A 13,999-nucleotide genomic window follows, 5' to 3' on the forward strand; every position below is an offset into this window, starting at 1 on the left:
AAATACAAAAATTAGCCAGGCGTGGTGGCGTGCATCTGTAATCTCAGCTACTAGGGAGGCTGAGACAGGAGAGTCACTTGAACCCGGGAGGCAGAGGTTGCAGTGAGCCGAGATCGTGCCACTGCACCCCAGCCTGGGCGACAGAGCAAGACTCGGTCTCAAAAAAAAAAAAATTTTTTTTTTTAGATTATAAGTTACATAGAAATTTGGAATGTCATAACAGGTATAGCAGTCCTCTTGCTGAATTTGTGTTTCTATGAGGGGTGTTGAGTGATAGAAAATACTAGTTTTTCAGCAACAAAAACGGGCTGAACATCCTTGTTGTCATTTCTTCTTTTTTGAGACAGGGTCTCACTCTGTCACCCAGGTTCGAGTGCAGTGGTGCGATCATAGCTCACTGCAGCCTCAACTTTTTAGGCTTGGTAAAAATCTAACTATTCTGGATAAATCAAGTATTTGGTTCCTTATCTGCAAAGAAGTAAACTCTCTTAAAACCATTTCTAAGTTTCAATGTTATAAGATTATATAGATTTATATTGGTTCTGTAGCTGACATTACTATTTAACAGTAATAATTATGTCCTGTATAATACAAAACATTGTTTATATTGCAAGGCATTATAGAAACCTTTCATGTACAACAGCTGCTCCAAGACACCCGCTAACCCACAGCTCCCAGGTCATTCTCTGTGGGCTCAAGCAGCCGCTCCAAGGCAGCCACAATTATTTTTTTTTCCTAGTAGTAAATTTACCCAGGAATTTTTTCACTGCGCCACCCTAGCAGCGAGAAGGGCAGATCTCCATATGTGTAAGTCCATCTTTTCTATCCTATTGAGTAATAGCCATAAAAATTGGATTTACTTATATTTTACTTAGTGAAAATGTCACCTCTTTAGAATGATCTGGCTCTTCTTGTAACGCCAGTCGTGCCCATATGATGACTCTTCCACAGTTTTTTCAGCTTCAGCAGGAGGCAAAGACTTCAACAGAAGGAGACAGTCTTCACTCTATAAACAGGGTTTGAAAGGAAGAAAAAACAGCTGGTATTTGCAAAGGGCAGTGTGGCCTTACCTCTTTCTTTTCTATTTAAAGATAAAAATACATCATTTGGAAAAACATTATGGTTCAATGTTTTTTATATATTTTTTGAAACGGAGTCTCGCTCTATTGCCAAGGCTGGAGTCCAGCGATGCTATCTTGGCTCACTGCAACCTTTGCCTCTCAGTTTCAAGCAATTCTTGTGCCTCAGCCTCCCAAGTAACTGGGATTACAGGCACCCGCCACCACGCCTGGCTAATTTTTGTATTTTTAGTAGAGACGGTGTTTCACCATGTTGGCCAGGCTGGTCTCGAACTCTGACCTCAGGCAATCCACCCACCTCGGCTTCCCAAAGTGCTGGGATTACAGGTGTGAGCTACTGCACCTGGCCTTATGGTTTAATGTTTTAATAATCTGAAAATCCATTTCTGATGATAGCAACAATAAAATAAATTTAAAATATAATTCTAAGTAATGAAGATTTGTTTAATTCTTAGTCATTGCTATAATTATAGAATCGTATAAAAATAATGACATTTAAAAACACAATAAAAGAGAACCCACGCTCCATTCTAGAATTAAAGGGTCCTAAAACATATAAAACTGAGTCTGGCCCAGGTGCAGTGGCTCACGCCTGTAATCCCAACACTTTGGGATGCCAAGGATACCTGGTATCCTCCCTGGTGATCCTCCTACCTCAGCCTCCCAAGTAGCTTGGGACTACAGATGTGCACCACCACATCTGGCTAATTTTTTTAATTATTTTTTTAGAAATGCAGTCTCTCTGTGTTGTCCACGCCGGTCTTGAACTCCTGAGCTCAAGCGATCTGCCTGCCTCGGCCTCCCAAAGTGCTGGGATTACAGGCGTGAGGTACCACGCCCAGTGCTCATTTCTTTAACACAAATATTTTTACCTTTGATCATAGTCAGATTCTTACCATATCTTCTAATTGCTCATTTCCCTTCATTGTTAATTTATTCTGATAAATAGATTTAAAGTAAGTATACCTCTAATTTTAAGTAATGATATTTTGGTGCCACATGGAAGTATATCTGTGGATTCAATTTCTGGAGGTGCAGTTGCTAAGGCAAAAGGTTATTCATCCAAACTTGGCTTCCAAAGCACCTTTTCCAATAGAATGAGTAGGGGAGGGCCCATTTTCTCACTCATTCACCAACAGTATGTTATAGAACTTGTTTTTTTGCTAATCTGATGTATGCAAAAAAATTTTTTTTAAATATTACCACATGGATTTGATTTCCATTCTTAATTTTGGTTGAAATATTTACTTTCTCAAGGTGAAAAGCCTTTTGTTTTTCTCCTTACATCCTTGGTCCCTCTTTCTCTTGAGTTGTTTTTTTTTTTTAAAAAAAAAAAAACAGAGCTATTTCTGTGGTTTTATTATTGTTGTGTTTTTAGAGACAGGGTCTCCCATGTTGCCCAGGCTAGTCTCAAATTCCTGGGCTCAAGTGATCCTCCTGCCTCGGCCTCCCAAAGTGCTGGGATTACTGGCATGAGCCACCACGCCTGGACCGAGTTGTTCTTTTCAAAATTGACTTTAAAGTTCTTTGTGGGTATTTCAAATTTTCCTCTAATTTGGCATTTTTTTAATTGATTTTGTTATTATTATTTTTTTTTTTTACAAAAAATTCAGAAGTTTGTATTTTTATGTCTGTTTGGAAAAATATTACCCACCGCAAGATTAAAAATAAATTCTTGGCCGGGCACAGTGGTTTATACCTGTAATCCAAGCACTTTGGGAGGCTGAGGTAGGCGGATCGCTTCCCAGGAGTTCAAGACCAGCTTGGGCAACATAGTGAAACCCTGTCTCTACATAAAATACTAAAATTTGCCAGGCAACTTGGCCAGGTGCTTGTAGTCCTGGCTACTAAGGAAGCTGAGGTGGGAGGATCACCTGAGCCTGGGAGGTCGAGGCTGCAGTAAGCTGTGATTGTGCCACTGCACTCCAGCCTGGGTGACACAGTGAAACTCGCCTCAAAAAATAAATAAATAAATACTTTCTCTTGTATTTTTTCATTTTTAGAGTTTCTTTCTACGTTTCAATCTTTTTTTTTTTTTTTTTTGAGACAGAGTCTAGGAGTGTGGAGTGCAGTGGCATGATCTCGGCTCACTGCCACCTCCGCCTCCCAGATTCAAGTGATTCTCCTGCCTCAACCTCCTGAGGAGCTGGGATTACAGGCGTCTGCCACCACACCCAGCTAATTTTTGTACTTTTAGTAGAGATGGGGTTTCACTGTGTTGGCCAGGCTGGCCTCGAACTCCTGACCTCGTAATCTGCCCGCGTCAGCCTCCCAAAGTGCTGGGATTACAAGCGTGAGCCACTGCGCCCGGCCTAAATCTTTTTTTTTTTTTTCAATGAGACAGAGTCTTGCTCTTGTCGCCCAGGCTCGAGTGCGGTGGCTCGATCTTGACTCTGGCTCACTGCAGCCTCTGCCTCCCAGGTTCAAGTGATTCTCCTGCCCAGTAGCTGGGATTACAGGCACGTGCCACTGCACCTGGATAATTTTTTTTTTTTCTTTTAATACGGACTCTCACTTTGTTGCCCAGGCTGGAGTGCAGTGGCATGATCTCAGCTCACTGCAACTTCCGCCTCCTATATTCAAGTGATTCTCCTGCCTCAGCCTCCCGACTAGCTGGGATTACAGGCATGCAACACTACGTCTGGCTAATTTTTGTAGTTTTAGTAGAGATGGGGTTTCGTCATTTGGAGCAGACTGGTTTCAAACTCCTGACCTCAAGTGATCTGCCCGCCTTGGCCTCCCAAAGTGCTGGGTTACAGGAGTGAGCCACTGCACCCAGCCAACTTTTATATTTTTAGTTGAGACGGATTTTGCCATGTTGTCCAGGCTGGTTTTTTTTTTTTTTTTTTTTTGAGGTGGGGTCTCACTCTGTCACCCAGGCTGGAGTGCAGTGGCATGATCTCAGCTCACTGCAGCTTCAGCCTCCCAAGCTCTGCCACCCAAGTAGCTGGGATTACAGGTGAGCACCACCACACTCAGCTAATTTTTTGTAGAGCCTGGGTTTCACCATGTTTCTCAGGCTGGTTTCGAACTCCTGGGCTCAAGTGATCCTCCTGCTTGGCCACCGAAAGTGCTGGGAATATAGACATGAGCCACTGTGGCTGGCTGCCATCTTTTCTAAAGGATGTGGCGAGCTAGTGATTAAAAAAAACTTTTTTTTTTATTTGAGACAGTTTTGTTCTGTTGCCCAGGCTGGAGTGCAATGACATGATCTCGGCTCACTGCAACCTCTGCCTCCTGGGTTCAATCAATTCTGCCTCAGCCTCCCGAGTAGCTGGGATTACAGGCACCTGCCACCACACCGGCTATTTTTTGTATTTTTAATAGAGACAGGGTTTCACCATGTTGACTGGGTTGGTCTTGAATTTCTGACCTCAAGTGGTCCACCCACCTCGGCCTCCCAAAGTGCTGGGATTACAGGCGTGAGCCACCACGATCAGCTGATTTTTAAAAATGTTTAACCAGCTACCTTAATGAATTTCTTTATTATGCATAGTAATATTTCATTTGATCTTGTTTTTTCCAGGTATATAATTTTATATTCAAATAATGAAATTTTATCTTATCAATTCTGATTTTCTTTTTTCCTCGTCAAATTCATTATAGAACACTTACTTATTTAAAAAATAGGCTGGGCACGGTGGCTCATGCCTGTAATCGCAACACTTTGGGAGGCTGAAGTGGGTGGATCAGTTGAGGTCAGGGGTTTGAGACCATCTAGCCAACATGGTGAAACCCCATCTCTACTAAAAATACAAAAATTAGCCAGGCATGGTGGTGCATGCCTGTAATCCCAGCTGCTTGGGAGGCTGAGGCATGAGAATCTCTTGAACTCAGGAGACAAAGGTTGCAGTGAGCCGAGATTGTGCCACTTCACTGCAGCCTGGGTGACAGTGAGACTCCAGCTCAAAAAAATAAAGTAAAATAATATAAACATGCCTGTAATCCCATCTATTCAGGATGCTGAGGTGGCAGGATTGCTTGAGCCCAGGAATTCAAGTCCAGCCTGAGCACATAGTGAGATCCCATCTCAAAAAAACAAATAAAACAAACAAGAGTGAAAAATAGTTATTTCTACGTGTAGTGATTATCTGAGGAGGGTCCTATAGGAAGCTACATGGCTCTGAGGAAGATGTCGGGAGTTCTAGGGTCTGAGATAAGAAGGAAATGTACTTTGCATTGTGTGATCTTTGGAACTGGGTTTTTTTTAGTTTTTTGTTTTTACCTTTATGAAGAAGAAAACTAATTAAAATGCATTTAAAGATAATCCACTTAAAAGGTATAACCTTAATTTTTTTTAAAACTGACTTTTTTCCCTTCTTTGTCTATTCAGTGGCAGTTCTTGGATTGAATTTCTAAATAATGAAGATGATCTTAAAGATATTTTTTTACAGCTAAAAGAAGGAAACCTTGTTTGTGCACAGTATCTTTGGCTTCGACATCGGGTAACATGTTTTACATTTTTTCCTTAACAGCTTTATAGCTCCTGAGTTAGGTGATTGAATCAATGTTGGAGACTAACAAGGTGCAAGTCTGACTGGGTGATGGGATGTTTTTTGATTGGTTCTTAAAATATGACTTGCTTTTGTTTGTAAAGGGCAAGGGGATAAAAAAGACTTTCCCCATGGGCTGGGCGCGATGGCTCACGCCTATAATCCCAGCACTTTGGGAGGCCGAGGCGGGCTGATCACTGGAGGTTGGGAGTTCGAGACCAGCCTGGTCAACATGGTGAATCCGTGTCTCTACCAAAAATAAAAAAGTAGCCGGGCATGGTGGCACGTTCCTGTAGACCCAGCTACTCAGGAGGCTGAGGCAGGGGAATTTCTTTAACCCAGAAGGTGGAGGTTGCAGTGAGCCGAGATCACGCCACTGCACTCCAGCCTGGGTGACAGAGTGAGACTCCGTCCCAAAAAAAAGAAAAAAAAAAATTACTTTTCCCGGAGAAAATTGTCTTCTGATAATATTAAATCAGAAGAAGTACAGTGAATGTACAGTAGAACCTTATTTTATCCAATCATTAAGAATCTAGCTTCTTGGGAGCTAAATGATGAGAACACGTGGATGCATGGAGGGAAACACACACCGGGGCCTTTCAGAAGGTGGAGGGTGAAAGTATCAGGAAAAATAACTAATGATTAATAGGCTTAATAGCTGGGTGATGAAATAATCTGTACAACAAACCCCCTTGACAAAAGTTTACCTACACTTATACCACTGAACTTAAAAGTTAACCAAAAAAAGAGTCTAACTCCTAATCTTAGCTCTAAAGGCAACATGTTATCTGGTTTATTAGTGGGCTTTGTAATGTAGCATTGGTGAAGAAGATGTTGCTACTGCAGCTCAAATTGTGGTAAAAGATTGCCCCTTAAAATTGCTTGTCTCGATCCCTTTAAGGTTGGCCAAAGTTGGTATAGAACATTAGATCCATAAAGTCATAACTTGCCGTGATGCCCTTAATGGCTGCATTGCTTGTTTGAATTCCTAGTATCACCCCCAGTTAAGTTTTCCTTAGAATACTCTCTCTGCTGGTTCTTCTGCTACATGATAAACTATTTGGCACTCAGCGCCGTGACATTGCATACAGTATGCAGCTCCCAACTAGAATCATTTGCATAGTGTGAATCTCCTTTAGCACTCATTATTAAATCAGTAGGCTACTCCTTAAAATGACTTCCTAAAATATCTTTGTCAAACATTTGGAAGCCTTTGGTTTAAATTTGTCAGATCTTAATTTCTCGCTCCTTATAATTTAGGCAAACTTTGAAAGCAGATTTGATGTGAAAATGCTGGAGAGCTTGCTCAACTCAATGTCTGCATCAGTCTCTTTGCAAAAGCTGTGTCCATGGTTTAAAAATGATGTGATTCCATTTGTAAGAAGGACTGTGCCTGAAGGACAGGTGAGTTGTCTTCAGTATTTCCACTCTTGATGACTTTATTTCATTTTTTACATTAGATCATTGAGAATTAAGTCACGTTAACACCAGTTAACACCAGTTAGTTAAGCTAACACCTGTGTTAATTAAAGTGTCTCTTAAAAGACAACTGTGATTCAGAAGGAGATGTTATCATTTGCAACAATATAGATGGAACTGGAGATTATTATGTTAAGTGAAATAAGCCAGGCATGGAAAGACTAACATCACATGTTCTCACTTATTTGTGGGATCTAAAAATCAAAACAATTTAACTCACGGCCATAGAGAGTAGGAGGATGGTTACCAGAGGCTTGGAAGGGTTGTGGGGTGATGGGTGATGGGTGAGAGGTGGGGATGGTTAATGCATACAAAAAAATATATTTAGAAAGAATGAGCCTGGGTGCAGTGACTCACGCCTGTAATCCCATCACTTTGGGAGGCTGAGGTGGGTGAATCACCTGAGGTCAGAAGTTTGAGACCAGCCTGACCAACATGGTGAAACCCTGTGTCTACTAAAAATACAAAAATTAGCCGGGCATGGTGGCATGCCTGTAATCACAGCCACTCGGGAGTCTGAGGCAGTAGAATTGCTTGACCCAGGAGGTTGCAGTGAACCGAGATCGTGCCATTGCATGAGATCCAGCATGGGTGATGAGCGAAACCCTGTCTCAAAAAAAAAAAAAAGAAAGAATAAGACATACTATTTGATTATACAAGAGAGTCAATAATAACTTAATTCTATATTTAAAAATAACTAAAAGAGTGTAATTGGATTGTTTGTAACACAAAGGGGATGGATACCCCACTCTCCATGTTGTGATTATTTCACATTGCTTGCCTGTATCAATGCATCTCATGTACTCCACAAGTATGTACACCTACTACGTGCCCACACACAAGCAAAAAAGACAATCGTGGATAAGAGGTTTATGGACAAAATAAATATTTAAAGGAAAAAAAAGAAATCGTGGAGGTTTTTAGTTATGTCAGTGATTATCCATTAAGAATTTCATTTTTAAATAATCTATTTCAGATAATTCTTGCAAAATGGTTGGAACAAGCAGCCAGGAACCTTGAATTAACTGATAAGGTAATACTGATTTAATTAACAGTAAAAAGACATTTTGCACACTCCCAACAGCATAAAACATTGTTTTGAACTGTCTGTAATCTTTTTTAAAGGCAAATTGGCCAGAAAATGGACTTCAATTGGCAGAGATATTTTTTACAGCAGAAAAAACAGACGAGTTGGGATTGGCATCTTCCTGGCATTGGATTTCCTTGGTATGATGTGAGAATGGATTTTTAGTAATGAAACAGTCAGTTTACCTGAAAGGGTTTGTCTGCATGTATGTGAAGTATCTGGAAATATATCTACTTCTTAAATTTTCTGTTTTTTTGTGCCTTTTTTTTGTTTTGTGCCTTTCAAATCCATATGTAGGAAAATTTGCTTTTTCTTTCTTTCTGATTTGTGTTAAAACTTCAACCTATGTTTTTAATTTATTTATATATTTATTTATTTATTATTCATTTTTGAGACAAGGTCTCACTCTGTTGCCCCAGCTGGAATGCAGTGGTGCAACCATGGCTCACTGCACCCTCAACTTTTGGGCTCAAGTGATCCTCCCACCTCAGCCTCCTGAGTAGCTGGGACTACAGGTGCGCATCACCAGGCCCGACTGATTTTTGTATTTTTTGTAAAGAAGGGGTTTTGCCATGTTGCCCAGGTTGGTCTTGAACTCCCAGACCCAAGTGATCTACCCACCTGGGCTTCCCAAAGTGCTGGGATTATAGGTGTGAGCTACTGTGCCCAGCCCTCTCAACCTATTATTATTATTTTTTTTTGAGATGGAGTCTCACCCTGTTGCCCAGGCTGGAGTGCAGTGGTGCGATCTCAGCTCACTGCAACCACCCCCTCCCAGGTTCAAGCAATTCTCCTGCCTCAGCCTCCCGTGTAGCTGGGACTACAGGCACCCCCCACCACGCCTGGCTAATTTTTTTTATACTTTTAGTAGAGACGGGATTTCACCATGTTGGTCAGACTGATCTCAAATTCCTGACCTCAGATGATCTGCACTGCTCGGCCTCCCAAAGTGCTGGATTACAGGCATGAGCCACTGCTCCTGGCCCCCCTCCACCTGTTTTAATGAACAGTTTTTCTCTATTCAACCAACCAAAAGGGGAACTATATAAACATTCTGCTAAGTGGTATAATTGGGATTTTCTGCATTAGCAGCATTTCACAATCCTTTGAAAAATTAAATCTTGGCTGGGCACGATGGCTTACGCCTGTAATCCCAGCACTTTGGGAGGCCGAGATGGGCAGATCATTTGAGGTCAAGAGATTGAAATCAGCCTGATTAACATGGTGAAACCCCATCCCTAGTAAAAATACAAAAAAAATTAGCCAGGCATGGTGGTGGGTGCCTGTAGTCCTAGCTATTTGAGAGCCTGCGGCAGGAGAATCGCTTGAAACGGGGAGGCAGAGGTTGCAGTGAGCCGAGATTGTGCCACTGCACTCCTGCCTGGGTGACAGAGCATGACTCTGTCCCCCCCAAAAAAAAAGAAAAAAGGAAAAATTAAGTCTTGACAGTACATTAATATTAGTTTTCAAAGGTTGTGTCTGTCAAGTCACCTTTTCTATATAAGAGCTTTTTCCTCTTGCTGTAAAACATTATTTTTATCTTTTCCCTGTTAACTTTTATCAATATTGAAGGTTCTGTTCTTTTTATATAATTTTAGGAAATGTTATGCCTTTATATCTGGTTATGATATATAATCTCTATAGATAGATGGGACACTGAGCACTACCTAAATGATGCTGTGTACTAAGTATACTTGGGTTCTGAAAAAGTATTATACTAATATTCTTAATTTTTCTATTTTTTTAAGAGAAAATATCTTTCAGATTCTGATCTATACTAATTTGGTTAAAATACTACAAAATTTAGAGCATAAGTTGGTTTAAAGTTGCAGGTTTCCTCTTACGTGCATAACCAGGGTTAATTCTTATTTTATCTGAAATAATTCTGATTCTATTTTTCTCTCATACTTTTATTTTATATCGTTAACAACTTTAACACTTTTGTTTTAGAAAGATTATCAGAACACAGAGGAAGTATGTCAGCTAAGGACTTTGGTAAATAACTTGCGAGAGTTGATCACGTTGCATAGGAAGTACAACTGCAAATTAGCCCTCTCTGATTTTGAGAAGGTAAAGTCCAGGGTCATAAGAATTATTTTGTATATCAAGTTATGGGTAGAGTCTGTATTTATTCCATCTTTCTTTTGGCATCCAGGAAAATACAACCACCATAGTGTTCCGAATGTTTGATAAAGTGCTGGCCCCAGAGCTTATTCCCTCCATCTTAGAGAAGTTTATAAGAGTTTACATGAGAGAACATGACTTGCAAGAGGAGGAACTTCTCTTGCTGTACATAGAGGTAACTTTTCCTTTACATCTAGTCTTATTTCTTGGATCTATGCAGTGTAGCACTGTAGTAAATATTTAACTCTTTAAGGAATGTCATATGCTTTCTCAGTAGGACTCATGCAGCATATTGAATTGGTTAAAAATGTGGGTTAATTCTGCTACTAACCATCTTGAGCAAAGGGGGGATACATGAGGACTGTGAACCCGGAAAATCTGAGACAGTTCTCAGTTAATTTAGGGAGTTTATTTTGCCAAAGTTGAGGATACACCCATGACACAGCCTCAGGAAGTCCTGACGACATGTACCCAAGGTGGTCCGGGCACAGCTTGGTTTTATATATTTTAGGGAGAGACACGAGGCATCAGTCAGCATATGTAAGAAGTACATTGGTTCGATCTGGAAAGGTGGGACAACTTGAAGCAAAGGCAGGAAGACTCCAAGCGAGAGGGAGCTTCCAGGTCACAGATAGGTGATACAAAACATTAAAATTCTTTTGAGTTTCTGATTAGCCTTTCCAAAGGAGGCAATCAGATAATGCAGCTGTCTCAGTGAGCAGAGGGGTAACTTTGATAGAATGGGAGGCAAGTTTGCCCTAAGCAATTTCCAGCCTGAGTTTTCCTTAGTGATCTTGGGGGCCCAAGATATTTCCCTTTCACAGTACTTTCTTCAAAGGGCTATTGTGAGACCACAGGAGCATGAACTCAATAAATATTAGCAGTTATTTCTTGTGGATGTTATTAATGTGCTACAGTAATCTTATTTGTAGATTCTTCAAGAATGTTTCATTCTTAAATTTTCTATACCATATAAAACTAAAGGCTAATGTTTTGGCAGTTTTGTATTTTTAGACCATTGTTCAACATTTATGACTAATTAGAATTTTTAGGTTTTTTTTCTTTTAACACATCTATCAAGGCCATATAATATCTGTATCTAGCTGTATGTGGCATTTTTTTAATGAGAATTTTTAATTTTTAAAAAACATACATGTTTATCCCTTTTTAGGATTTACTGAATAGATGCAGCTCAAAGTCCACATCACTCTTTGAAACAGCATGGGAAGCAAAGGCCATGGCAGTAATAGCGTGTTTATCTGACACGGACGTAAGTAAATAGTGACCATTTGCGTTTCCCTTTTGAGCATTAAATCTTTTCTGAAAGCTTTTTTCTGTTCATAAAAGCGACATATATTTGTTTTTGTTTGAGATGGGTCTGGCTGTGTCGCCCAGGCTGGAATGCAGTGACATGATCATGGTTCACTGCAGCCTCAATCTCCCTGGCTCAAGCAATCCCCACCTCAGCCTCCTGAGTAGTTAGGACCATAGGCGTGTGCCACTACGCCCAGCTAATTTTTGTATTTTTTGTAGAGACAGGGTTTCCCAGGCTGGTCTTGAACACCTGGGCTCAAGTGATCTGCCTGCTTCATTCTCCTAAAGTGTCTGTTTTCTTTAATTACAGAAAATAAAAAGTGAATGTTTACTCATTTCCACCCCCAGGGGAACCTCCATGGACAGTTGTATGCATATCTTTGCAGGCTTTTCTGTGGTTATGCAAACATGGAGACTTTTCTTTTTCAGTTATTCGCTGCAATGTGAGACATTTGTTAATATATTGTAATATGCCTTTATTTTAACTTCACACTGTTATTGCCACTATAAAATAGAAATAAAATAATGAAAACTGTTTTTAAACCAGAGACTGAGGCTGGACACAGTGGCTCATGCCTGTAATCCCAGCACTTTTGGAAGCCAAGGCAGACAGATCACCTGAGCTCAGGAATTTGAGACCTGCCTGGGCAACATGGTGGAACCGCATCTCTACAGAAAATACAAAAATTAGCCAGGTGTGGTGGTGCTTGCCTGTAGTCCAAGCTACTTGGGAGCCTGAGGTGGGAGAATCGCTTGAACCCAGGAGGTGGAGGTTGCAGTGAGCTGAGATCGCGCCACTGCACTCCAGCCTGGGCAATGGGAACATGACCCTGCCTCAAAAAAACAAAAAAAACCCAGGGATTGTAGAGACCGTAGAAAGCAATAACGCTGTATGTCTTAGCTTACAGCAGAAAAAATACTCTTCTGAATTTTTCTGAATAGTCAAATTGTTCTCTATATGTGAAAACTGAAGAAATAAATGGTTTTCCAGTGAGTGGATGAAATATTCTCAAACTACCATGTGGTTGATGTAAGACCTGCTGATTAGACTGTGCTGTTCACTTGCATGCATCGTAAACCTGAGGGCTGTTCCTTGTCCATGCGTGCATCTTTTGTAGCTCATATTTGATGCCGTGCTCAAGATCATGTATGCGGCAGTGGTTCCTTGGAGTGCAGCTGTGGAGCAACTGGTGAAACAGCACCTGGAAATGGACCATCCCAAGTAAGATGACTGTCTACGAAACAATGTTGTTATGCTCTGGAGAAACATTGTGTTTTGAGTTGACGTTCATTTATGTTTCTATATTGTTTGCTGTGTCCCATAGTACTTCATAAAAAAGACAATCCATGTTAATATGGGTAAATTTGCTTTCAGAGTCAAGTTATTACAGGAAAGTTACAAACTAATGGAGATGAAAAAACTTTTACGAGGCTATGGAATAAGAGAGGTAAATCTCTTAAACAAGGAAATAATGGTAAGTACACTCTTCGAAGAGTCTTTTTTCTCTTTCATTTCTGGGGCAATATGGAAAGCTTAATGAGGAATTTATATTCTAGGAGGCTAATAGAGCTAGGTTTTTCCACTACATTTCTTTTGTTAGATATGATGTTAATAAGGTGTTCAGTTATTTATGAGAGTATTTATTCTTTTTGACATGGAGTTTCGCTCTTGCCGCCCAGGCTGGAGTGCAATGGCGCGATCTCGGCTCACCACAACCTCCGCCTTCTGGGTTCAAGTGATTTTCCTGCCTCAGCCTCCTGAGTAGCTGGGATTACAGGCATGCACTACCACGCTTGGCTAATTTTTTTTTTGTATTTTTAGTAGAGATGGGGTTTCTCCATGTTGGTCAGGCTGGTTGGTCTTGAGCTCCCGACCTCAGGTGATCTGCCTGCCTCGGCCTCCCATAGTGTTGGGATTACAGGCGTGAGCTACCGCTCCTGGGCTTTTTATGAGAGTATTAAAGACACCAAATAGGCCAGGTGCGGTGGCTCACACCCGTAATCCCAGCACTTTGGGAGGCCAAGGTGGGTGGATCATGAGGTCAAGAGATCAAGACCATTCTGGCCAACATGGTAAAACTCCGTCTCTGCTAAAAATGCAAAAAAATTAGCAGGGTGTGGTGGCATGTGCCTGTAGTCCCAGCTACTTGGGAGGCTGAGGGAGGAGAATCACTTGAACCTGGGAGGCAGAGGTTGCAGTGAGCCGAGATTGCGCCACTGCACTGTAGCCTGGCGACAGAGGGAGACTCTGTCTCAAAAAAAAGACACCAAATAGTAAATTAAGAAGCTGTAGAAGAAAGAAGACAGGACTGTGGAATGATCAGAATATAAATCATGTTTTAATCTTTCATACAATTTAGTTTTTTGCTGCATTATTTAAATTTTTTTGCCACTTTGCTCTTATAAGCAAGTGATTTCTTGGT

The 13,999-nt window shown here is 40.9% G+C and overlaps 1 protein-coding gene across 11 annotated transcripts in view; it reads left to right on the forward strand.

Moving 5' to 3' along the window:
* The window catches only part of KNTC1 (kinetochore associated 1), a 99,148-nt gene that overhangs the window by 35,600 nt on the left and 49,549 nt on the right, over positions 1-13,999 (forward strand). For all 11 annotated transcript variants that reach the window (NM_014708.6, XM_006719706.3, XM_011539027.4 and 8 more), the window contains 9 exons: positions 5,413-5,524; positions 6,833-6,976; positions 8,028-8,084; positions 8,177-8,278; positions 10,089-10,208; positions 10,294-10,437; positions 11,434-11,532; positions 12,695-12,798; positions 12,952-13,051. In NM_014708.6, coding sequence (NP_055523.1) covers positions 5,413-5,524; positions 6,833-6,976; positions 8,028-8,084; positions 8,177-8,278; positions 10,089-10,208; positions 10,294-10,437; positions 11,434-11,532; positions 12,695-12,798; positions 12,952-13,051 — 982 coding nt within the window. The remainder of the gene's footprint in view (positions 1-5,412; positions 5,525-6,832; positions 6,977-8,027; positions 8,085-8,176; positions 8,279-10,088; positions 10,209-10,293; positions 10,438-11,433; positions 11,533-12,694; positions 12,799-12,951; positions 13,052-13,999) is intronic.

Source organism: Homo sapiens, chromosome 12 (genome assembly GCF_000001405.40).
Source record: "Homo sapiens chromosome 12, GRCh38.p14 Primary Assembly".
In the NCBI taxonomy this organism is placed as follows: Eukaryota; Metazoa; Chordata; class Mammalia; order Primates; family Hominidae; genus Homo; species Homo sapiens.